General features: G+C 35.7%; 1 protein-coding gene and 1 long non-coding RNA gene across 10 annotated transcripts in view, besides 4 other annotated features; one reads left to right on the top strand and one right to left on the bottom strand.

Moving 5' to 3' along the window:
* The window catches only part of SAMSN1 (SAM domain, SH3 domain and nuclear localization signals 1), a 174,190-nt gene that overhangs the window by 104,101 nt on the left and 46,310 nt on the right, over positions 1-23,779 (top strand). For 6 of the 9 annotated variants that reach the window (XM_011529685.1, NM_022136.5, NM_001286523.2 and 3 more), the window contains exon 1: positions 9,002-9,112. The exons of the other annotated variants lie outside the window; for them this stretch is intronic. In XM_011529685.1, coding sequence (XP_011527987.1) covers positions 9,056-9,112 — 57 coding nt within the window. In that variant the 5' untranslated portion in view covers positions 9,002-9,055. Of the gene's footprint in view, positions 1-9,001; positions 9,113-23,779 lie in introns of those variants that run through there. 9 annotated transcript variants of the gene reach the window in all.
* Positions 11,143-11,192: an enhancer, noted in NCBI's record as "active region_18275". NCBI's record gives its function as "activates an Ori minimal core promoter by ATAC-STARR-seq in GM12878 lymphoblastoid cells {active_cell/tissue: GM12878}" and the evidence as "EXISTENCE:reporter gene assay evidence [ECO:0000049][PMID:35858748]".
* Positions 12,908-12,957: an enhancer, noted in NCBI's record as "active region_18274". NCBI's record gives its function as "activates an Ori minimal core promoter by ATAC-STARR-seq in GM12878 lymphoblastoid cells {active_cell/tissue: GM12878}" and the evidence as "EXISTENCE:reporter gene assay evidence [ECO:0000049][PMID:35858748]".
* Positions 16,789-23,779, bottom strand: part of LOC124905053 (uncharacterized) — a 61,200-nt gene continuing 54,209 nt past the window's right edge. The window contains exons 2-3 of the long non-coding RNA XR_007067925.1: positions 17,397-17,471; positions 16,789-16,901 (exon numbers count right to left, since the gene is read on the bottom strand). This is a non-coding gene — a long non-coding RNA (uncharacterized LOC124905053). The remainder of the gene's footprint in view (positions 16,902-17,396; positions 17,472-23,779) is intronic.
* Positions 20,527-21,726: an enhancer, noted in NCBI's record as "P300/CBP strongly-dependent group 1 enhancer chr21:15905912-15907111 (GRCh37/hg19 assembly coordinates)". NCBI's record gives its function as "activates an origin of replication core promoter dependent on BRD2, BRD4, P300/CBP, MED14 and CDK7 cofactors, with strong dependence on P300/CBP, by STARR-seq in HCT116 cells {active_cell/tissue: HCT116}" and the evidence as "EXISTENCE:reporter gene assay evidence [ECO:0000049][PMID:35650434]".
* Positions 21,553-21,652: an enhancer, noted in NCBI's record as "active region_18273". NCBI's record gives its function as "activates an Ori minimal core promoter by ATAC-STARR-seq in GM12878 lymphoblastoid cells {active_cell/tissue: GM12878}" and the evidence as "EXISTENCE:reporter gene assay evidence [ECO:0000049][PMID:35858748]".

Here is a 23,779-nt window from a genome sequence, read left to right as displayed (position 1 = left end):
TGCAAACCTAAAGAGACAAAGAGATTTGGGAGAAGGATAGAAAGGATGTCAACTAATGTTTTGGATAATAAAAGGTGAATGGAGAGTTGGAGCACGTTGCAATCTCAGAAGTTGTAGACAAGGAGGCTGCAATGAAATGAGTCAGTGTGCATCACAGAGGCCCTGAGAGGCTCAGCCTTTGAAGGCAGCAAGGAAACTACTTTCTTTTCTCCACAGCCCAGCAGGGCATGGAAAGGTTAGTATCTGCAGACCTGAATAGTCTCAAAGAAAAGAACTCCAGAAACTGTCATTTGAGGGTCTTCTGATGAAAAAGTTTCCTTGGGGTAGGTGTGGTGATTCATGCTTGTAATCCCAGCACTTTGGGAGGCCAAGCAGGAGAATTTCTTGAGTCCAGGAGTTCAAGACCAGCCTGGGAAGACAGTGAGAACCCATCTCTACAAGAAATAGAAAATAAACCAGACATTATGGTGCATGTCTGTAATCCCAGCTAGTTAGGAGACTGAGGTGAGAGGATTGCTTGAGCCTGGGAGTTTAAAGCTGTAGTGAGCCATGATTGTGCCACTGCATTCTAGCCTGGGTGGCAGAGGAAGACTTTGTCTCAAAAAAAAAAAAAAAAAAGAAAAAGAAAACAAAAGACTTAACTGCTAGTTGATCACCTGACAAGCCCACCCATTTACATAGAAATTCCAGTCGGGTTTTTTCATACCATGATCTTTAGTAATGTATCCAGAGAGCACAATCTCCAGACATATGACAACAGCTTAAATATGAAAGACTGAAATCAAAGCAAACAGAAGAAGTCAGAATAAAACAAGATAATGAAGGGAATAGAAGGAAAATTGTAAAAATGATAATTAATAACTTCAGAAAGATAATGGAATATATTCCAAGTATTTGCTTGTTACTATCTAGTGTTTATTATGTACCAGGCACTTTTCCAACAACACCATAATAGTGTCTCTTTTCATTCTCATAGCAATATCTTTCAAGCATTACTGTCATGTGCACTTTATGGAAAGGCTAAATAACTTGTCAAGGGCACCCAGGTAAATGACAGAGTCAGGATTTGAACCTAGGCAGTGTGGTTAAAGTCCACCCTCATAACCATTACATGTCACTGCCTTTCCAAAACTTAAGAACAGAATGTTATGAAAAGTGAACAATCAGAAAGCATTTCTGCAAATTAAAAATCTAGCTAAAGTAAAATATTTATTGTATTTATTATAGTAATTAGTAGAAAAAGTAACGGAATTTTCCTGGAAAACAAAAGGTCAAATAAATGAAATCAGAGAGCAATATAATAAAATGAGAGTATCAATCCAGTATGTTCAACATTGGACTAATCCGTTTCCAGATGGAGAGAACAAAGAGAGATGAAGAACTTATCAAGGGAACATAGGCCTAAAGAGAAGTTTTTAAATAACCCATATCAACACACATAATATGACATTTTAGGATATACCAAAGATTCGAAGAAAATCCAGAGGAAAGAGGCAGAGAAAAAGAAAGAAAAAACAGGCCATACACAACAAAACAGGAATCACAATGGCTTCTGCAGACTTCTCAACACTCTGAAAGCTAGAAGACAATTGGAGAAGCCTTCTAAATATTGAGAAAAAAATGATTTCCAGGCTAGAATTCGATTTCAAGTCAATATAGCATTCAAATGTGAAGGATCTAAAAGGATGTAAGTGCCCTTTTTCTGTTAAGGAGATATGTTTCTGCAAATGAGAGAACAGACAAAAAGAAACATGATGTGAGACTTAGACCAGAGATAATTGGAAGTGATTAAGGAGAAATTCCATTCTATCCTCAACGGAGAACAACTAAACCACATTAGAACACATTAGAACAGAAAAAACATCTAAAGTGTTTGAGCATTTGCAATGACAAGTATGATGTTTGAAATTAAATATTTGAAACAAATCACTTGAAATAATTGTCAGAGTATTTATTGGTGAAATATTAACAATATATAGAGAACCAATCATATAAAAAGAAAGACAGTTATTAATTCCAAAAATGGGCAAAAGAGGAACATAAAGCATTAAACAATATTTAACTCAGCCATGAATAATATTATTTATACCATGATAATGTTAATAGTGACTAATGATTTAACAAAATAATTATAAGGTAGTTGGGAAGTAAGAAGAGTACAAAATCCTCAAGGATAAAAAAAGGAATAAATAGATAATGCCTAATGCATAAATCAAGAAAATATATTATCTAGAAAAATAAATCTAACCAACTAGAAACATTTTTTTTTTAAATATTGGAAGGATCAGAAAAAGAGTTGAAATAGGAAGTCTAGGAATAGAGAAGGATGGGAGAGGGTGCTTGTGTTTTCTAACTTTTTTAGTGTAAGCATTTTTATATTTGCAAAACTTTAAATGACATTTAGAAATATAGAAAAGAACAATATTGTAGAAATGTGAAGATGATAATCACAATTTGGATTTGATATTGAGGCAAGCAAAATCACAAAATTAAGAGCAAAAGATTGAGGGAATAATAAACGCTCTTTAGAAATAGAAATTGGAGAGCTAAACCTCCAACTCGAGCAAATGGAATGTGCTTATGGTAGTAACTTTACGGACAGATGCCTTATCAAAAACAGGTGACTTAGTCCATTTGGGCTGCTATAATAAAATACCATAAACTTGGGGTAGCTTCCAAACAACAGAAATTCATTTCTCACAGTTTAGAGGCTGGGAAGTCCATGATGAAGACACCAGCAAATTTCTCTTCTGGTGAGGGCCTGTTTCCTGGGTCATAGATGGCACCTTCTTGCTATGTCTTCACATGGTGGAAAAGTGGGAGTGAAGGGATGTCTCTCTAGCCTCTTTTATAAGGGCACTAATGCAATCCATAAAGGCTCTGTCCCCATGACCTAATTCTCCCAAAAGCCCTACCTACTATTACCTTCCACCTTGCGGGTGAGAATTCCAACATATGAATTTTGGGACCACACAAACATTCAGACCAAGGAACTTCATAGAAAGGAATTTCATAAAGTGTGCATAAGTCTCATTTGTGCTTCTACTCTGATTACCTACACCCATTTTTGTAAGCATAAAATTAGAGACAATGATTATTATCAAGGGTAGAATTGAGGGCCAATAAGTGTCTCAACAAGGTAGCTTGGGTTGGAGAGGGGCCTGAAATGCAGATTTGTCCCCATGATACTGAATCTTAATTATAGAAAAGAGCTCTGGATTGGCTGCAGATTTACTGGTTTCAAATTTTTTTACACATGTAATGATTGAACCAACTCTCTTTTCAACCAGAAGCCAGCAACTCAACATTACCCTCCCCCTAGCCCTTAGCATTCCTGACCCGAACAGTCAAATTAATCATTCCCATTTTATGCCAGGTATTTAGGTATGCCAAGACCTACTTATGACATAGAGTGATGGTTATGAGCTGAGGCTTTGGATTGAATCCTGACTCCACCACTTCCTAGCTGTGCAAACTAGACACGTTACCAAACCCCACCAGGAAGCTGAGAATGATAATATTAGTACCAGCTCATGAAGATTTTTGTGAAGATTATATTGAAAATATTTATAAAGCACACAGCATAATTTCTGTTATGTAATAAACACTCAAGATGACAGTCATTATTATTAATATTATTAACTTGTAGAATAATATTACTTCATGAAAATTACAACTTTTAATCATAAATGGATTAAATTTTATCATTATTTGTTATGCCAACCACAATATGGCCCTTATATGACTTTAAAACCACTTAGAAAGGAAATACTTATAATTTATTGAAGTAATCTGAGTAATTTGCATTTATTTTGAATCTTAAACTTTATCAGCCTCCCTAATTTTTCCAGTCACTTTGAACTGATACTACTCATTCTTGGTACCCAGTCTTCTCTTACATTCAAACATCTTGTAAGGCATAGATGTAATTTATGAAGTTCTTTGTCTCTTCAAGGCAGTTTTATCCTGTATGATTCTTTAGGTTCACCATTCATCTTAGGCCATTGGTCCCTTCTATTTATCCCAATGATCTGTTTCTTCTATAACTGAGATAACAAGATAATGTGTTACATTATCTCTTTGGAAATTTAAAATAAGCAGTAATTTTGCCAGGCCAGGCTCTCTAAGAGGCTTCCCAAGATATCCAGAGTATGACTAGCAACTCTAACCACTCAGAAACATAGTATTTTGAGCACATCAAGGGTAGATCCTTTTCTGTCAATACATTCTAGTTAACCACTTTGGCAGTATTTAAATTTGTAATGAGAAATAGCAATCTCAGATTCCAGGTACTTGATGTCCATATGAATGCTGCCTTTGTCTCCTATAGACATATCTACCCAAGGAGCCAAATCATCATTTATGCATAGAGCTTAAAATAAAAACAAAGGAAAATAGTTAAACACATATTTTGTTTACTGAAATCCAGCTAAAATTTGCATGATATGTTCATCTCCATGCAATAGATTATCTTGTCTGGAGAATTAAGATACTCAAAGCTCACTAAGCTCTCTTTTCCTTTAACTCAGCAACTTGAAAGGAACCTTCCAGTATTTGTCTGTGTTACTGTCTTTTTTCTATTTGAGGTAAAATGAATTTAGATTCTCCCTAACCTTCCTAATTATTTAGAAGTTGTTTGGGCATCACCTCATCCTTGTTAGTTGAATGTATGGGAACTCAGGCAATGAAACTCAGGCAGGGTCTTATAAGGAGAAGTCAACAGGTGGAATATTAATTTATCATGTAGACTTCAGGTCCGTTTTTAGAAGAAATTAATCCTGGTGATAGATATGCTTGATTTCACGTCTTGTTGGAAATGGCAAACCTCAGTAGCTCCCATCTTCTTGCCACTTCCTGTTAATAGAATCAGAATTTTATCTTCCCCTAATCTCCCCAAAACATGAGCTTGTCACTTCCTGGAGCAGGTCACCAGGAGAAGCAGAAAAGTCACTGCACAGCTTTTCAATTAGTAACACATTAGAAGGGATTTCAAGAGCTGGGTAGGGCTGGGTCCCTTAGAGAAAGGAATTAGTAAACAGGAACTCCAGACATAGAATGGGTAAGTGACTTTAGAGAGTTAGGAAATATAGGAGATTCACAAGGAAGAAACGGTCCCCCCACTTCCTTAACTCCTCCCATAGGCCAGGGGGAATATCCATCCCGTCATTTCTCTTAAACTCCCAAATCCAAACAAGGAGGTGTTGAGATGTTTAATCCACCTATGGTAAGAATAAGCTAGATAACTAGAGGAGGGTACAACACCAAGGCCCCTCTATATAGCTTGGCACCAACATCTGAATTATTAAATACAGAATTGCAGAGAACGTCATCAGATGGCAATGTGTACTTATTTCAGGAAACACTGAGAAAGAAAGAGTTTTTTTTTTTGATATTGTAGGATCTCCACTTCCGTGAAACCCCAAACAGGTAGGAACACAATATCCCCACTCAACTTCTTTGAATAAAATTCTCTTCCCTGTACTATAGAAAGAAGTCTACTCTGAGGGGGCCAAAAAGAAGAGAGGAATTATCAAGGTTAAGTTACTTTTATGATTGACTCCTTTTCTTAATCATAGATGAGTAAATTCTGCAGGTTTGAATGGAATACAGTTCTTTTTTCTATAAAATGATTATTCTTACATTAAATCTTAATTTCAGAGTTGGGTTCTGTGATGACAACCTTATTTTGCTTATTTTCAAATTCTTGAAATTGGTCTCTCTGTTTTCCTCCTGTAACAAAACACTTGAGGTATAGTCAGGAGTATTTTTGGTTAGAGTTAATAAAATATCCCTTGGTCATGGTTGACCCAGCAATACACAGAGGCATGCATAAGATTGTGCCCAACCAACTCTTCATGTTAGAGAAGTTTTAACTATTAGAGCAATGCAGAGAATCTACTTTCATTCTAAAAGATTTGATTTTAAAACCCTTCATCCATTGAACCAGTGTACATGTCCTAAAATAAAATGTAGAGTAGGATTAATCCAAACTACTATCTAATTGTATTCTTCAACCTGATGGCAGAAGGCAGAGAGATGTAGATGGAGATCCTCAATGTCTCAGAATCGAGGACATCACTTTGAATGTCCCATGATCTCTAATTTCCTTCTATCTATGCTTTGAATTTTATGATTTGTGTTTTAGCAATACACTAAATAAATATTTGTTGGATTGCTGAACCAATCCTTTTATGGCTCACCTTACTTTCCCGAAAAATACACCTCAATCTTTGTCATTTGACTGCAATTTCTTCAAAATTTTTACTCATGATTCATGACACAGAGATAGTACACAAAGTTCCATTCTGTCTGGGATGTAAGACCATTAAGGTATTGTAAAGCACCAAGACTGTGCTTTTGCAATTTCCCTATTTCAGAATACATGTTAAGCAACAGGGTTGCTAGTGGTTTAATCATGGTCAGTAGTGAGGTGTGCTCTGTACTGACTCTCTGCTTCATTCTTGTTCTGTCCATCTGTGACTTTTGAGCTTGCTGGGTCACTCTGTGTCACTCACTAAATATCTCGGTGTCCTCCAAATACCATAAAATAGTAGATAATTGATAAAAACATTTGTAACCTTGTCACTTGATCTTTTTGGGGATCAAGAAGTTTAACATAGTTAGATAATGAATGGGACCTCAAATGTCACATCTGTCTTTTAAGCCCCAGAAAACATTTTTCTTGAGTGAAAGAAAGATTGGAAAAATCCTTTTCCACCCGTACTTGAAGGAAAATATTTATTTTGTTTACATTTTAAACATTTCTTGTAATGTTAAAGATGGTGAAGTGCCTAGAGATCCATAAATGGATATATATTTTTTGTTTGCTTGAGTATAACGCTTTTAAAAACTGCATCTAGTCCAGATATGGGTCTCATAAATGTGACTGTTCTCTATTCTTTAGCACTGTATTATAGAAACATTGGAGAAATGTAACCTATAGCAAGCACCACCTCAAACTGAAACTTCATGCCTTTTTAGAGTTCACAAACATTTTTTGACATAAAACATTACTGAAATGATGAATCATCTAATAAGTATGTCCTTTATTGGTATTTCATTTTACTATCAACAAAACTCTACCATGTACTAAGTGCAAGCATTATCATTGCCATTTTATTACTGATTGAACTCCATAATTAAATTTTTATTCATAGATGAAGAAAAGAGGGTGTCGAGGGTGCAAATGGTTCACTTAAAAACGTATTTTTATGACTTTCAATTTCTTAAGAGATGAAGCAAAAGATCTGCCTAGCCAACTTTCTTAACCCAAGCCCAAACTGAAAGTCTAAAAGATGTATTTCTGGGGAATTACCCCACCTCAACATTCTCAGGTTTTCCAGTGTTCTCTGTCTGTGTCAGTATTTTGAAAACACTAACTCAATAATTCTCAAAAATCAAAGTCTGCTTTTATTATCTGGTAATAAAATAATAGGCATATTAACCATAATCATGAAAAGTATATTCTTTCAATTCTGTTATAGAACAAAAACAGGTTGTTTTTAGCTAGTCAAGAGGTTTGAAATATTGTCAAATTGCACATAATAGACAATCAATTTAATATTTATTAAATAAATTAGTGAAATTTGAATCTCATTTGTTAAATGAATTAGTAAAATTTGGGCCTTGGGGTGGAGCTTAGAAGTGTGAGGGAAGTTTGAGAAATAGAGTCAGTTGATTTGTCACGTGGAAAAGCTGCTGATTAAGAATATGGCACTACACTTTTCAATTCAGAGGATTTATAAACAGAAATCTAGGTTTATTTTCTTAATCTGGGTTGCTCAAATGGAACCAGAGTTTCATATATTTTGCAAATCTCCCTTTGGTAAATCCCCATTTAACAATAAAGCTTGAACTTTTTGCTTTTACTTCTGGGTATTTTGCTTTTTTCATTATCATAAACATTTTTAAACCATGGGGAAACTCTTAATAAGTCATATTAGCTCTACCAGGACTATTAAATAGAGGTTCTGGGTGTTTTATTTGAAGAAACCGTTGATCCATTGGCTCATCACCAGGGCAGCAATTATCAGTATATGGCATCGTTTGTAGCACAAAGACATATGGTTAATTGGGGGTTCTGTTTAATTGATCTCTTTGTTAACCAGAACTTTACAACATCTTAATACATTAGAAAAGTAACATATGATAAACATTTACTTTTAGTCATGTTCCCATTTATATTTAGAATGGGTCTAATCCATATTTTAAAATATATGCATACATGCTTTAAGTAGGATTAGTATTGTTTAAGTTCTAACTTATTTTATCTTCTAACATTGTTTATTTATTTTATCTTCTAACTGTGTTTATTTAGAAATATACCATGCCTGTAATCCTAGCATTTTGGGAGGCTGAGGTGGGCGGATCACGAGATCAGGAGATCGAGACCATCTTGGCTAACATGGTGAAACCCCATCTCTACTAAAAATACAAAAAATTAGCCAGGCATGGTGGCACACACCTGTAATTTCAGCTACTTGGGAGGCTGAGGCAGGAGAGTCGCTTGAACCCGGGAGGTGGAGGTTGCAGTGAGCCGAGATCATGCCACTGCACTCTAGCCTGGGTGACAGAGTGAGATTCCGTATCAAAAAAAGAAAAAATATATACAAAATTGACTACCTTGAGTATTCTTTTTTTTTTTTTTAAATAATAGAAAACCAACATCTCAAGTTTTATTTCAGTTATTGGCTCCGATTTTTTCTTTTTTCTACCCATGGAATGCATTGTAAATTTTTACTTTTATATAAACCAAGAAAATGAGTTTTGTTTTGAAATCCTTATGGCTCTCATAACTGCAGGCATGTCTAAATATGAGATTTGGAACATACCTCATAGAAAATAGCAAGACAATAAAGAGTTACCAAAGAATTACTGTAAGAAAAAAAAATTACCCATGTAAATGTTGAAGTCATATCCTGACTGAAGGAGGAAGTGGCAGGTCCCTGGGCTCAACCTTATCTGATGCTGTGCATTAGACAGCACACTGCTGACTGTTTTCAGTTGTTTCTGTAACAGCAGAAAGTGCACTCACTAGGAGTAGTCAGAATTCAAAATGCTCAAGAGAAAGCCATCCAATGTTTCAGAGAAGGAGAAACATCAAAAACCAAAGGTAAGGTGATTTCATACATAGTTAAATAAAATCAAACTATTTAATAGAAAATAAACACATATGTGTGTTTGAACACATACAATGTTCTCATCTGTCAGTCATAAGTCAAACATAGGGTTTAATGCCTCATGGCAAATACGGAAAAATTAAATTGCAAAGTTAGATTTTAAATCACACCTAGCAATTATTGTCTCTGTAATTTTGTCTTATGGTGCATATTGGAACATTTACATCTGTAAGTGAAGTTTGAGTTCAGTTCAACTTCAAGAAAATCAATTTAGTGGTCTCTGAGTGTTTGTTATTATAAAATCTTCTTGCATGTTTTTAATGACTATGAGATTGTCAACGTCTATTGAACAGTCTACTGAATGAATTTTATCTCTTAAGTAATTAGCTCTTCAAAATAGAGTTATAAGAAGGTTGTAAAATGGAAATGTTATGGTTAAATATAAGACTTTTCTCATTTTTGAATGTTAAATCATGATAGCTCGTTGTAAAGATGTATATTTGCTATTCTCTCGAACTAATGTTATTACTACACAAAAAATCGGGCTGTGTTTTGAGAAGCATCAAAACACCATATACTGGTAGACTTGACAAATTGGTAATATGTGGAATGTTACTCTGTTCTTTGTCTTGGCAATAAGTGCTACTTTTAAAAAAAAAAAGTATAACATGGGATAAAGTTCAAATTCTATTGTAGAACTCTAGATTTATTAATAACGTAAAACAACTATTTACAAAGTACCAATGTCAGAAAATTTCTCCAATACTTGTACATTTCTTTTCTCAGGTAAATACAATTTTTAGTCTCTTTCTGAGATAAACAATAGCTGAGTCCAGATTTTTTTTAAGGATTGATTTATTGTCTATCAGTCTTTATATGTTAGGCACCCATTTTCAGAGAAAGAGATTGGTTTATTTCATTTGTTATGACCTTTTGAATTGATGAGACATTGAACAATGGTCAATATTTTGAAACTCTTTGGAAGTTACCATCCAAGTTTTTCTGAAGGAAACAAAAATAAATGATTTCTTATCTTTGGAAACTGAGAATAAATGATTTTGAATATTAATTCTTTCTGACACATATGCATAATAATGGATAGACAAGCATCTTTAGTTTAAAATGTAGCTAGATAACGTATCATGATTTCTTTTTCCCTAATATAAGAAAAACTCAAAGTAACATTTTCCAAATAATACAGAAAAGTTTTTAAAAGCATGGCTTGTGCTTCCATTTAAGATTAATTTTATATGATATTTACTTGATTAAGTACAACAAATAGTTAACAATAGTAGGTTTAGGGAAGATCATAAAAGTTAATATGGAGAATGATATACCTCAAAGTATTTAAAATCTAAAGAGAGAGTATTTAATAAAGCCTGTATTTTATAGTGAGTTAGAGTCATATTTACAACATTAAACTATTGTCAAAATGATACTTTACTCCATCATCATCATTTGGCTTAAGAGCAGTAACTATTATAATACACTTGGAATATTGTTAATCTTGACTTCCTTATTCATAAAATAAAAAAAATTTTGAAAAAATATACATCTTTGAACAAAACATATCACAGAAAATGGTCACATTGGAAATGCTAAGTTTTGTTGTGAATGAATTCTTATTTTCATTAGACAGATGGTTTCATTCTGCATGAATTTAAAGAGATGTGAATATAGAGGCACAGGCATGTTTTTCATACATTCAGTTGGATTGTTTCCTTTTAACATGGAAGTGATATTTTTCCATTTGTAATTATGTCTTAAAATAACTCCTTTCCTCATAATTCACATTTATTTTGGTGGGTAATTTTCTTTGCATATTATATGAATAAAGAGCAGTATCTGTCCAGGTGCATGGGCTCACACCTGTAGTTCCAGCACTTTGCAGGGCCGAGGTGCGTAAATCACTTGAGTTCAGGAGTTCCAGCCCAGTCTGGGCAATGTGGCAAAACCCCATCTCTACAAAAAATTCAAAAATTACCTGGGCATGGTGGCACGTGCATGTAGTACCAGCTATTCAGGAGGCTGAGGCAGGAAGATTGCTTGAGACCAGGAGATTGAAGGCTACAGTGGGCCGTGTTCGTGCCACTGCACTCCAGCCTGGGCAACAGAGCAAGACCCTTTCTCAAAAAGAAAAAAAATTGGCAGAGGTGGATGCTGTGATAATCCCTACAAATAAAAGGCTCATAGAAAAAGGAGTGCAAATCCTTTCATTTACTGAAGAGAAATTGTGTCTAGAAAGGGTCTATGTTTAGAAACAGAACCATCAAGAAATTGGTCTGAAATATAGGGAATCACTGTCTTCACTGATTAACTACATACCAGATATTAGTTTACAAAATTTCCTAACCAAGAAACATAAACTCTTCATACTATACTCTTAGAATTTGTGAAAGGAATTTTCTTGTTTTTGTGGTTTTTTTTTAAATTGTAAATCCTATAGTAGGGTAAAAACTGACAATATAAAAAATGAAGAAAATATTTAATCATTTAGCTTTTGTTAACTGTCATTGGTTCTATTTCAAGTGACCTATTGGACAATTCAAATGCAATGCATATTATAACTAATGTTACCTCAATTAAAAATGATCAAACTTTCCAATTGAAAGCTAATGGAGAAAGATTTTGTTATTAGTATTTTCAAATAGGTCTTACAGTTATGAGAAGGTTCAAAACATTCATTTATATAATATGTAGCAATAGATTTTCAGTCCTATATCAAAAATAATTCATTATTTTCTTATATTCCTAAAACTTATCGATAAACATGTTCATGAATTTAAAAAGAGTAAGTCCAAATACATGTTAAAATACAGTTTTACCATGTGTAGTGTTATCATTAGTGTACCCTCTTTTTCATCCTTTATTTCTCTCTTTCTCTATTTTTAGTATAGGTTCTCTCCTTTGAATAGCTCAAAATTAAGAGTAGCATTCAAATTTATTGTAAGACACTTACAGTATAGGCTGAGAGGCAGAGACCAGAGATATTCTATAACAGAAACTGGTAAATTCTTGCAGAATTATTACAAAAGAAACCCATTGCATGTACTGGAATGTTAATAACTTCTAAGGGCTTTAATGTGTGTCTCAGAACTCTCTACTGTATACAGATAAATTCCAAATTAGAAAAGAAATAGGAGAATAATAGTTAAGTATTCTGTACTTAGGTTAGTTAAAAATAGGCTTGCTTAACATACATGCAAGGTACTGTTATCTTTATTCTTGAATTTTGCCTTTACCTTGGAAACAGAGTCTTGCTCTGTCACCCAGGCTGGAGTTGATGTGGTGCAATCACATAACCCTAACCCTAACCCTAACCTCCTGGGTGGACTCAAGCTACCTCCCATCTCAGCCTCCTGAGTAGCTGGGACCACAGGCACCATGCCACCAGCCCAGCTAATTTTTAATTTTTTATAGAGATGAGGTCTCCTTATGTTGCTCAGGCTGGTCTCAAACTCCTATGTTCAAGTGATCTTCCCATCTCAAACCACCTCAGCCTTCCAAAGTGCTGGGATTACAGGCATGAGCAACCACAACTGGCTGTTTTACCTCTTACTACTAGTGTCCATTACTGATAGTGATTTTAAAAACTTTTAAGCATATACAATATTCAGATTTGATGAGATGTTATTGCATTACACTCTATAAATGCTTAAATTATAGAACATAACAATTTTCCTTGTCTGTTTTTCCAACTAAAATATTTTATTTTTCTATATTTATCATTGGTTTATTTTCATGTCAGTTGCTGTGCTTACAGCTTTTTGTACACTAATTTATTTAATATTTGTAACAACTGTGAGAGAATGACTCTTATTTAGCCTCATATGTAGAGCCTAAGGCATAAGGAAGGTCAATTACCTTGAAGAAGACACAGAGTTAGATGAAAAATGAAACTGACATGAAATATGTTAATTTCCAATACTTCTGTTCTTAATATACTGCCTTTATAAGCAACAGGACTGTAGATATTATTTCTGTTTCCACCTGAATTGCCAGCTAAAGTTTATGGAGATCAGGGAAACCATGTCTGTAAGAGCGTCTGTAAGTTTAGAAATCGTCATTCCTGTCTCTGACTATGCAGGAAGTTCATCAAAGAAATCTCTCTAGGCGTCCACACACATGTCAACACCTACAATTGTAAAAAAACTTTCTTTCTTTTCCGTTCGTTCCTTCTTTCTCCTTCCTTCCTTCCTTTTTTTTTTTTCAGGGTCTCATTCTGTTACCCAGGCTTGAGTGCAGGCACAATCACCACTCACTGCAGCGTCAGCATGCCTGAGCTTATGTGACTCTCCTGCCTCAGCCTCCCGAGTCGCTGGAATCACAGTCCTGCACCACCATGCTCAGCTAGTATTTATATGTTTTGTAGACATGGGGGTTTTGCTAGATTGTCCAGGCTAACAACTTTCTTAATATTCAAATATTTTAAAAAATGACCTAATATTGAAGTAAGCACCACATATCCTCCCTCTGCAGCTAGCATAATACTTTCAACGTAGTAGACTCTCAATAAATATTTGTAAAGTGAATGAAGTTTCTTCAGTCTACTCTAGGGGTGTCTAATCTTTTGGCCTTCCTGGGCCACACTGGAAGAAGAAGAATTTTCTTGGACCACATATAAAATACATTAACACGAAGTATAATTTATGAGCTAAAAACAAACAAACAAACAAAAAAAACCACAAAAAATCACAAACAAATCTCATAATATTTTAAGAAAGTTTATGAATTTGTGTGGGGCCACATGCAAAGCCGTCAAGGCCACATTCAAAGCCATCATGGGCTACAGGGTAATACACCCTTGGTCTACTACATACAGCCTGGTTCAAGTATGGATACTCACTCAAGCTATGTACTTTTTTTTTTTTTTTACAGGATTTTGTTTGTTTTATCTGTCTTTGTTTCTTTGTTTATTTTTCCATTATTATACTTTAAGTTCTAGGGTACATGTGCAGGTTTGTTACATATGTATACATGTGCCATGTTGGTGAGCTGCAACCATTAACTCGTCATTTACATTAGGTATTTCTCTTAATGCTATCCCTCCCCCCTCCCCCAACCCCACAACAGGCCCTGGTGTGTGATGTTCCCTGCCCTGTGTCCAGATGTTCCCATTGTTCAATTCCCACTGATGAGTGAGAACATGCGGTGTTTGGTTTTCCGTCCTTGCAATAGTTTGCTCAGAATGATGGTTTCCAGCTTCATCCATGTCCCTACAAAGGACATGAACTCATCATTTTTTATGGCTGCATGGTATTCCATGGTGTATGTGCCACATTTTCTTAATCCAGTCTATCATTGATGGACATTTGGGTTGGTTCCAAGTCTTTGCTATTGTGAACAGTGCCACAATAAACATACATGTGCATGTGTCTTTATAGCAGCATGATTTATAATCCTTTGGGTATATACCCAGCAATGGGATGGCTGGCTCAAATGGAATTACTAGTTCTAGATCCTTGAGGAATCGCCACATAGTCTTCCACAATGGTTGAACTAGTTTACAGTCCCACCAACAGTGTAAATGTGTTCCTATTTCTCCACATCCTCTCCAGCACCTGTTGTTTCCTGACTTTTTAATGATCGCCATTCTAACTGGTGTGAGATGGTATCTCATTGTGGTTTTGATTTGCATTTCTCTGATGGCCAGTGATGATGAGCATTTTTTCATGTGTCTTTTGGCTGCATAAATGTCTTCTTTTGAGAAGTGTCCTTTGTTCACTTTTTGATGGGGTTGTTTGTTTTTTTCTTGTATATTTGTTGGAGTTCACTGTAGATTCTGGATATTAGCGCTTTGTCAGATGAGTAGATTGCAAAAATTTTCTCCCATTCTGTAGGTTGCCTGTTCATTCTGATGGTAGTTTCTTTTGCTGTGCAGAAGCTCTTTAGTTCAATTAGATCCCATTTGTCAATTTTGGCTTTTGTTGCCATTGCTTTTGGTGTTTTAGACATGAAGTCCTTGCCCATGCCTATGTCCTGAATGGTAATGCCTAGGTTTTCTTCTAGGATTTTTATGGTTTTAGGTCTAACATGTAAGTCTTTAATCCATCTTGAAGTAATTTTTGTATAAGGTGTAAGGAAGGGATCCAGTTTCAGCTTTCTACATATGGCTAACCAGTTTTCCCAGCACCATTTATTAAATAGGGAATCCTTTCCCCATTGCTTGTTTTCTCAGGTTTGTCAAAGATCAGATAGTTGTAGATATGTGGCATTATTTCTGAGGGCTCTGTTCTGTTCCATTGGTCTATATCTCTGTTTTGGTACCAATACCATGCTGTTTTGTTACTGTAGTCTTGTAGTATAGTTTGAAGTCAGGTAGCGTGATGCCTCCAGCTTTGTTCTTCTGGCTTAGGATTGACTTGGCGATGCGGGCTCTTTTTTGGTTGCATATGAACTTCAAAGTAGTTTTTTCCGATTCTGTGGAGTAAGTCATTGGTAGCTTGATGGGTATGGCATTGAATCTATAAATTACCTTGGGCAGTGTGGCCATTTTCACGATATTGATTCTTCCCACCCATGAGCATGGAATGTTCTTCCATTTGTTTGTATCTTCTTTTATTTCATTGAGCAATGGTTTGTAGTTCTCCTTGAAGAGGTCCTTCACATCCCTTGTAAGTTGGATTCCTATTTATTTTATTCTCTTTGAAGCAATTGTGAATGGGAGTTCAATCATGATTTGGCTCTCTGTTTGTCTGTTATTGGTGTGTAAGAATGCTTGTGATTTTCGCACACTGATTTTGTATCCTGAGACTTTACTGAAGTTGCCTATCAGCTTAAGGAGATTTTGGGCTGAGATAATGGGGTTTTCTAGATATACAATCATGTCATCTGCAAACAGAGGCAATTTGACTTCCTCTTTTCTTAATTGAATACCCTTTATTTCTTTCTCCTGCCTGATTGCGCTGGCCAGAACTTCCAACACTATGTTGAATAGGAGTGGTGAGAGAGGGCATCCCTGTCTTATTGTTTCTTTGTAGCAAGTCTGTTAATATGTGTGTAAAAATGTTTGTGTATCAGTACAACTGTAACTCATTTTAAGCTTTATGTTAAGAACTCTAATATACCCAATGTTATGAAAGAATCCCATTGTTACCTAAAGGTAGAACTTGGTCCAGGTTAAAGAATATGGAAGAAATTTTGAAAATAGAAAGACATGGATCCCACAAATTAAAGTTAGTGACTGTAATTAGAACATCTTGGCCTTTACTTGAGAGGGATTAATGATCCGTGTTAATAAATTTTAGCAGGTTTTTCTTTGAGTAAAGGAGATTCAAGTACCATTGTTATTTTTGAGGGAAACGTTAGAATAATGACAGTTCTGGAAATAGCCTTTTTTTTAACCATTCTTTTTAATCTAAAGTGCATACTAAATGAGACACCATTAGTGTCACAGATGCTAATTTTCACTAGCAATGACTGAAGTGGCATTCTTTCCCATTTGCATTTGATCCTAGCAATGATGAGAGGTGATGAGTTGATTATGAGCTGTTTTCACTGCACTGCCTGCTGTGCAAATTTATGCTCCTAGACAAGGATGACACATAGTTGTACCATTAAAGAGCTTTCTTCACTGTTTTTTTGTATCAAGACTGCTAGGATACATTTTTAACTCTTATCTAACCAGGTATAAGAAAGAGAATAAGTATTTATATGCACTGGTGCTTACTTGAGGCCAGGTACTTGTCCAAGGTGCTCATGTCCATTATTATGTTTAATCTTCTCAAAACCCCAGGAGGTAGACATTATTTTTATCTCCAATTTACAAAGAAGAAAAAAGCCCTGTAGATGCAAAAATTTTCCACAAGTTAAAAGATTTGGGATTTATGGCACAGTTTTTCTGCTTCTAAGCCTGTGTCTCTCTCCTCCTACTCTCTATTACTTCTTCATCTGGGGTACAATTTTTGTTGAATGTTTGCCTTTTCAAACAGAGTTTTCTGGAATAAAATACATGATATAAAATGTAGGTAATATGTTAGATTTACTCTTTTCCCCTTTAAAAAACGGTGGCTATAAGTAAATATTTATTTTAACTTCTAGTTATTACCTCCGTCCGCTCCAAAAACAAAACAAAACAAAAAACCAGATATCTCAAAAGGTTGTCTTCATTTTTGTGTTTATGTAGCATTTATAGCATTTTAAAAAGTATTTTTGATAAACTATAATGCAAACATAAAACCAAATAAGACAAGTCAGGAGAAAATGAAGTCTAGAACATGTTAAAATGTATCTCAAGGTTCATCAAGGCTGACTTGAATCTAAGAACTTGCTACTCACTGTGGTCCTATAGAGCAACAGCACGGGCATTCCAGGAGCTTGTTAGCCATGTGCATTTTCCAGTCTCCCCCAGGCCTACGAAATGAAAACATACATTTTAACAAGATACTCAGCAGTTCTGTGAGCACTTTATAATTTGGAAATGATGCTCTAGGTTGATGGTTTTTGGAGCCTAGGCCGAATATTTGAATCACTAAAGAGCTTTAAAAAAAAAACTGATGATTGGGTTCCATCCCCAAATATTCTTATTTACCTAATATAAAATGTGACTGGACATCAAGAATTTTTAAAGTTTTCCAACCTGGCAGCACTTTTTTCTACTTTTCAAAAGACTTAAAAGTTAATTCACTAATCCATGCATTCGTTCATTCATTTATCCTTCAACGCAACAAATGTCTATTAAATGCTTATTATGGACAATACACTGGCGATACCAAGGTGAACAAAAGATACCATATTTGCTGGAGATGACAGACAATAAATAGGATAAATAAGTAATATATACAGTATGCTAGATAATGATAGGTGCCAAGAAGAAAAAAAAATTAACAGAAAAGAAGGATTTGAAATATGAAGAACTAGAGAAGCCTTGGTGAGAATGGGACATTGGAAAAAGGACTGGAAGAAAGTGAAGGAGCTGGTCTTGGGATTGGTGAAGGAAACTGTACTCTGGGCAGAGGGAAGAGCAAGTGCAAAGGCCTTGAAATGGGACTGTCTCTGGTGTGTTTGAGAAGCAGTGGGGCAGAGTGCATAGCGGGAAGAGCCGCCGCAAAGAGCTGGATCACTGAAGGCGTTCTAGGCCATTAAAATAATTTTAGCTAGTGTTGAAAGATGTTTGAGAAGTGACAGAATCTGGCCTACAGTTTAGTGGGTTTATTTTGGCTTTTGTGTTTCAAATATACTGAAGGGAGTGAGACCAGTTAACAGACTATTGCAGAAACCAGGCAAGGGATAACTGTGGTTCAGACAAAGGAACGGCCCAGTTGACTTTGGTGTTGAGAAGACTCTAAATTTGGGATATATTTGTACTTACTTTATCCATTTGGATGTTTATAGGTAACTTACTACATGCTGTCTAAAGATGGCAGACAGAAAGTTTCCACTGTCCGGTCCCATTCTTGCTTCCAGTTGGTGCTTGCATGCCAAGGAGAAATGGCCTCATTCCATTGTTTACAGTCACCAGAAATTCACCCCTAAATTGATGTCTCACTTTGCAAAGGCTTCTTCTTCTTCTTTCTTAAACATATAATTTTCCATTGGATTTTATTTTAATTCGTAGTGCACCTTTTAAATAATTTTTAGCCTTGACCACTTCTCTCCAAACAAAGCACTAATACATTTTAGCTTTTCCGTTTTACAGAATATGAATCTGTAATCAAGTTTTATCCCAAGCAGGTAGCAAAATGTTTGGGGCCAAATGTATTAGCTATACTTGAAAAGTGTTCAGATAATATTCAGAAAGATCAGATGAATAGCTAGAGAAATGACAGAAGTGTAGCCTCCCCTTTGTTTGGAAATTTGGATATTGTATTTTATAGGAAGCTTTATAAGGTCACTACCTTGACTACCAAGATGCTGGATTTGTTAAAAATCAATTTAGTCACACACTTATCTCTTTAGTCTTTCTTTGCCTTGCTTTGGAGATAAATAGTTTCAAAATCCCTGAAAACTGTGTTTTTTTTTGTTTGTTTGTTTTTACAATAATGGAATCAAGTCCATGCTTTACATATCCGTTTCCAAATTTATCATTACCAAACTGATCCATTTCTCCTCCTTTCTAGTGTTAAAGATTTCGATGAACTTTCAGAAACAAGACATTCATATTAGCTTCTTAGTAGAAAACAAAAATGTCCTCCATTAAGAATTGATTACTAATAGCAGAAGATTTTAAACTATCTCTGTTGGTAGATGAAGTGATTCTTGCATAGATAGAGAGAGCCATTTGTCACCACAGCTGGCTAAGTCCCCCTCCTTCCTTCACTTAGTCTGTATTAGTTTGCTAGAGCTGCCATAACAAAATATCAGAGTCTGAGTAGCTTTAACAACAGGAATCCACTTTCTCACACTTCTGGAGGTTGGAAACCCAAGATCAAGGTGCTGGCAGGGTGGGTTTCACAGAGAGCTTTCAAGGAAGGATCTGTTCTGGGCCTTTCTTTTTGACATGTAGATGGCTGCCCTTTTATTGCCTCTTCATCTGTGTCTGTGTGCTCCTGATGTCTCTCTCTGTGTGTCCAAACATCATCTTATAAGGACACCAGTAGGAACGGATTAGGTCCTACCCTAATGGTCACATTTTTTACTTGATTTTCTCTTTAAAGGCTTTATATCCAAATACAGTCATGGTCTGAGGTACAAGGTGTTAGGGCTTCAAACATACGAATTTGTGGGAGTCAATTCAGCTCATAACATAGTCCATGAGCTTGTACTAATTGGAAGTGAGGATTAGGTTTTTAGTTGTTTCCTTCCTTCCAATTACTCTAGATCTTTCTCCACTTCCAGTTGACCAATCCCTTCATGCTGCCAGCCCCACATTTGACTTGACTGCCTTTACCTACACTCTCCAGTCTTTGTTATTCTTTCCTTCCTCACATCCAAATGTAACTCTGCCACAACCCACTAGACCTCTATTAGGAATCATTTGAAAACTAAAAAGTAAAACATCTATTTGACCCCCTTGACCCATGCTTTCTGGCTGCATATTAAAAATAATAGCAAAAATCATGATTACTTTTGCACCAACCTAATATTAAAATCATCTGGGGTGTTTTATAAAAATACCTATGTCTGGGCCCTAATACCAGATCTTCTGGTTTGGTTGGTGGAGTGAGGCCCGTGTTCCTGATGATCTGACCACTCTCATACATTTCTGTCTGTGCTTCTCTTAGCCTAAAATGCTCTGTGCTTTTTTTCCAACTCATGAATTCTTATCTATTCGAATTTATAGGTGGACTGTCACTTCCTCAAGAAAGCCTCCATCAGTTACCCCAGGGTAGTGTATTAGGGTCAGTCTAGCAGAGCAGTAGGTAACGTGAACTAAAGGCATAGAGACCTGAGTGTGAATGTCTTACTTTGATCTTTCTTAACCAGGGGACTTTGAACATTTTCTTAAGCCTGTTGAGCCTCATTGTGGTAATCATGAAAAGGGAAAGTCTTAAAGCATGTCACATAGGGTTGATGTGAGAATTAAGAAAATTACCATATGTATGCTTCCTAGCTGGTAGTACATGTCCATTTAATAATCTCTCCTTCTGGTGGCGGGCACCTGTAATCCCAGCTACTTGGGAGGCTGAGGCAGGAGAATGGCGTGAACCCGGGAGGCGGAGCTTGCAGTGAGCCGAGACAGCGCCACTGCACTCCAGCCTGGGCGACAGCGAGACTCCGTCTCAAAAAAAAAAAGAAAAAAAGTCTCTCCCTCCTTTCTATTTTCGTTGTGCTTGTTCCACATTTCTCTGTTTGTTGTTGTTGTTGTTGTTGTTTAAACTCACAGTTTTTCAGTATGTGCTCCCAACTAGATTCACCATCAAGAACAGAGGATCAGGGGATGTAGCTGACTCATATTTGCATCCCTGGGATTTTTGTTGAGGATTCAAGAGGGATTGAACTCGGTCTACCTGACTTTCAGATTCCGTGTGCTTTTTATAACACTTTGGCCACCACTGAAAACATTGATAGTATAGAACATAGTAGTGATTTCTCAATATATGTATAATGAGTGTGAAATGACTAATGGATAATATTAGTCATCTGCAGAAGTAGTCTACTCCAGAAGATAGTTTGTAAATGCGTCACTGATAAAGATCTGGGTAACACCCACAACAAAACAAAGTAACCATTCCTAGAATCAAAATAATCACACATTGTAATGTAATCTGCCTTAAAGACAAAAAGTATTAGCAAAAGGGTGTTGCTTTGCAGACAGCCTAGAAATAGGTGGGAGAGTAGAAATTTGCCACTGTGTCTGCAAATCATGCAAAACAGCTGAAGCAAAAATCCCTTTTGGCTGGACAGACTTCTCTTAGGTGAGATGTGTACCTAAGGCTAGGAGAAGAACTTCATGTCTCTAGTCTTAATACCACTTAATTGACTTTACTTTGACCACCACATGAATCAAGCAAACTTCCAGCAATGATCTGGTGTCCTGTGTAGGGTTTCTTTCAGGGGAAACAATTTTTTGATCAGTCAACATGAATATGCATTTTTCTTGGCAGATGAATTTCCCACAGCAAATCAATGCTCGCTTGGTTAGTATTGCCATTTTTGATATCTTATCAGTTTGGTTTATGAATTAGTCACCTTGAAGTTGTATATTTCTGCAAGCTTAAAAATAAAGTTCCCATACTTGTTGAGGTGAGGGCGTGACCCTGGACATAGAGACGTGATACTTGACCAATGTATTGTCTTCCTAAAAGGATTGAGCTAAGTTGCTAACTGGCTTCACTTCCAGGTACATTTTCTCTACAAAAGGAAAATGAATACAATTAAATAACTAAGTTTCTTTATTATATTTTTTATAGTTTTAACAGCTTAAACTCCTGGAGTAAGAGTCAAGTCAAATTTACCTTGTATCAAAATCTACATAGTGATATGGCATTCGTCTCAGTATTTGGTTAAAAAGAGCAAATTGGAATTTTCTGGGGTTTTTTTTCCCCTGAATACTTTACGTGGTTACAGTTATGCTACTGCTATTTTTAATTAAATAAGAGTGGCTGGGCATGGTGGCTCACACCTGTAATCCCAATGCTTTGGGAGGCTGAAGTGGGAGGATTGCTTGACAGGAGTTCAAGACCAGCCTGGGCAACATAGTGAGACTTTGTCTCTACAAAAAATAAAAAAAATAAAAGTTAGCTGAGCATGGTGGTGCACATGTGTAGTCCCAGCTACTCAAGAAGCTGAAGCAGGAGATTGCTGGAGCCTAGGAGTTCAAGGTTACAGTGAGCTATGATCACATCACCGCACTCCAGTCTTGGCAACCCTGGAGCAAGAGACCCTGTCTCAATAAATAAATAAATAAATAAATAATAAAAGTAATAAAATATTAAATATGTACATTTTGTAATACTTATGATTATAGTTTCTTTATATTGTAAGTTATTACATAGCAATCATCTTTTATCTTTTGTTTGATTTGTATGTTAGGACATCTAAAAATTTCAAATTACTTTAAGATTATGACTATCTCACTGTATTTAATTATCAATTATGAAAAAGTCATTACCAATAAAACAAATGTTTATAACTTTAAAAATACAGTTCCTTCAAAGATAAATGTTCTACAATTATTGAACATTACATTATAGGTCAAGGAGTGATTATAAACTGAGTTTCTTTTTACCACTACTCTTATATTTCAACTCTGCTATTAACCCCCTCAGGAGATTGAAGTATTCATCTAACCAAATCCCAGTTTTCTAAAAGGTAAATAAATGTAATTGACAATAAAAATAGTTATAGGACACTAACATCTCTTCCAAACTTCCTAACATGAACTTACTGTTTTATTTTCCCACCCATTCTTCCTCTATTTGGGATGACATACCATATATTTGCCCCCACATAAACATGTCTGTTCTTACTAAGAAAAAAAGTGTTTAAATTCCTAAGACCAGCAGCAGTGGGTGCTTCCTGGGATGGGAATGTTTATAAGCTTTATGATATTAACTGCAGCACTCAACCTCAGGTGGCATAAAGCATGCAAAAAAGAACTTTCTGTCAGTTTTATTATTTCTAAAAAGGTTCCCCTTGAAACAGAAGAGTGACCTTGCTCTGCTGAGCTGACATATGCCACTGGATTAATGGTCGAGCTCTGCTGGAGGGAAGCTCACGGAAACATTACAACTCCAGAAGCTGGGCTGGCGGTGACCATTAATCAGGGGGCCCAAAATCATGCATCAGACACACTCATTTAAAAGTAGTAAAAATGACTCAAAAAAAAACTTTTTGAGAATTAGCTTATTGTTTGTCATTACTTGTGTTCAAGGAGATCACAGAATGACTAAAATATCCCTTGGGCAGACCTTTAGAAAGGTTACTGTGTACCCAGAGGCCAAGTGAATGCAGAGGACTTTTAAGACTAATGGAAGTAAAAGGGAGTTTTTGTTCCAGATAATTTGATAGGAAATTTGGTTAAAAGGATTTTGTTTTCCCAACTTAATTTTTACATCTTTATTTAACCATAATTTCAAAGTAATGAGTACTATAAATGTTTGCCTCTTGGTGATAATTTTATTTTATTTTAAAATCTGGAGTGACTGGAATTTACTAGTGTAAAGATGAGATGGGTAAACTGTTAGGAAATATTTCAGGAAACTAAAGTTTTGTTAGCATACTCAATTATCACGTATGTTTAAAAGTTTTGGGGCTTAAAAGTACTGCACATTCTTCCA

This window comes from Homo sapiens, chromosome 21 (assembly GCF_000001405.40).
Source record: "Homo sapiens chromosome 21, GRCh38.p14 Primary Assembly".
In the NCBI taxonomy this organism is placed as follows: domain Eukaryota; kingdom Metazoa; phylum Chordata; class Mammalia; order Primates; family Hominidae; genus Homo; species Homo sapiens.
Note: the sequence above shows the minus strand (reverse complement) of the source record. Positions and strands in the feature narration are given on the sequence as shown.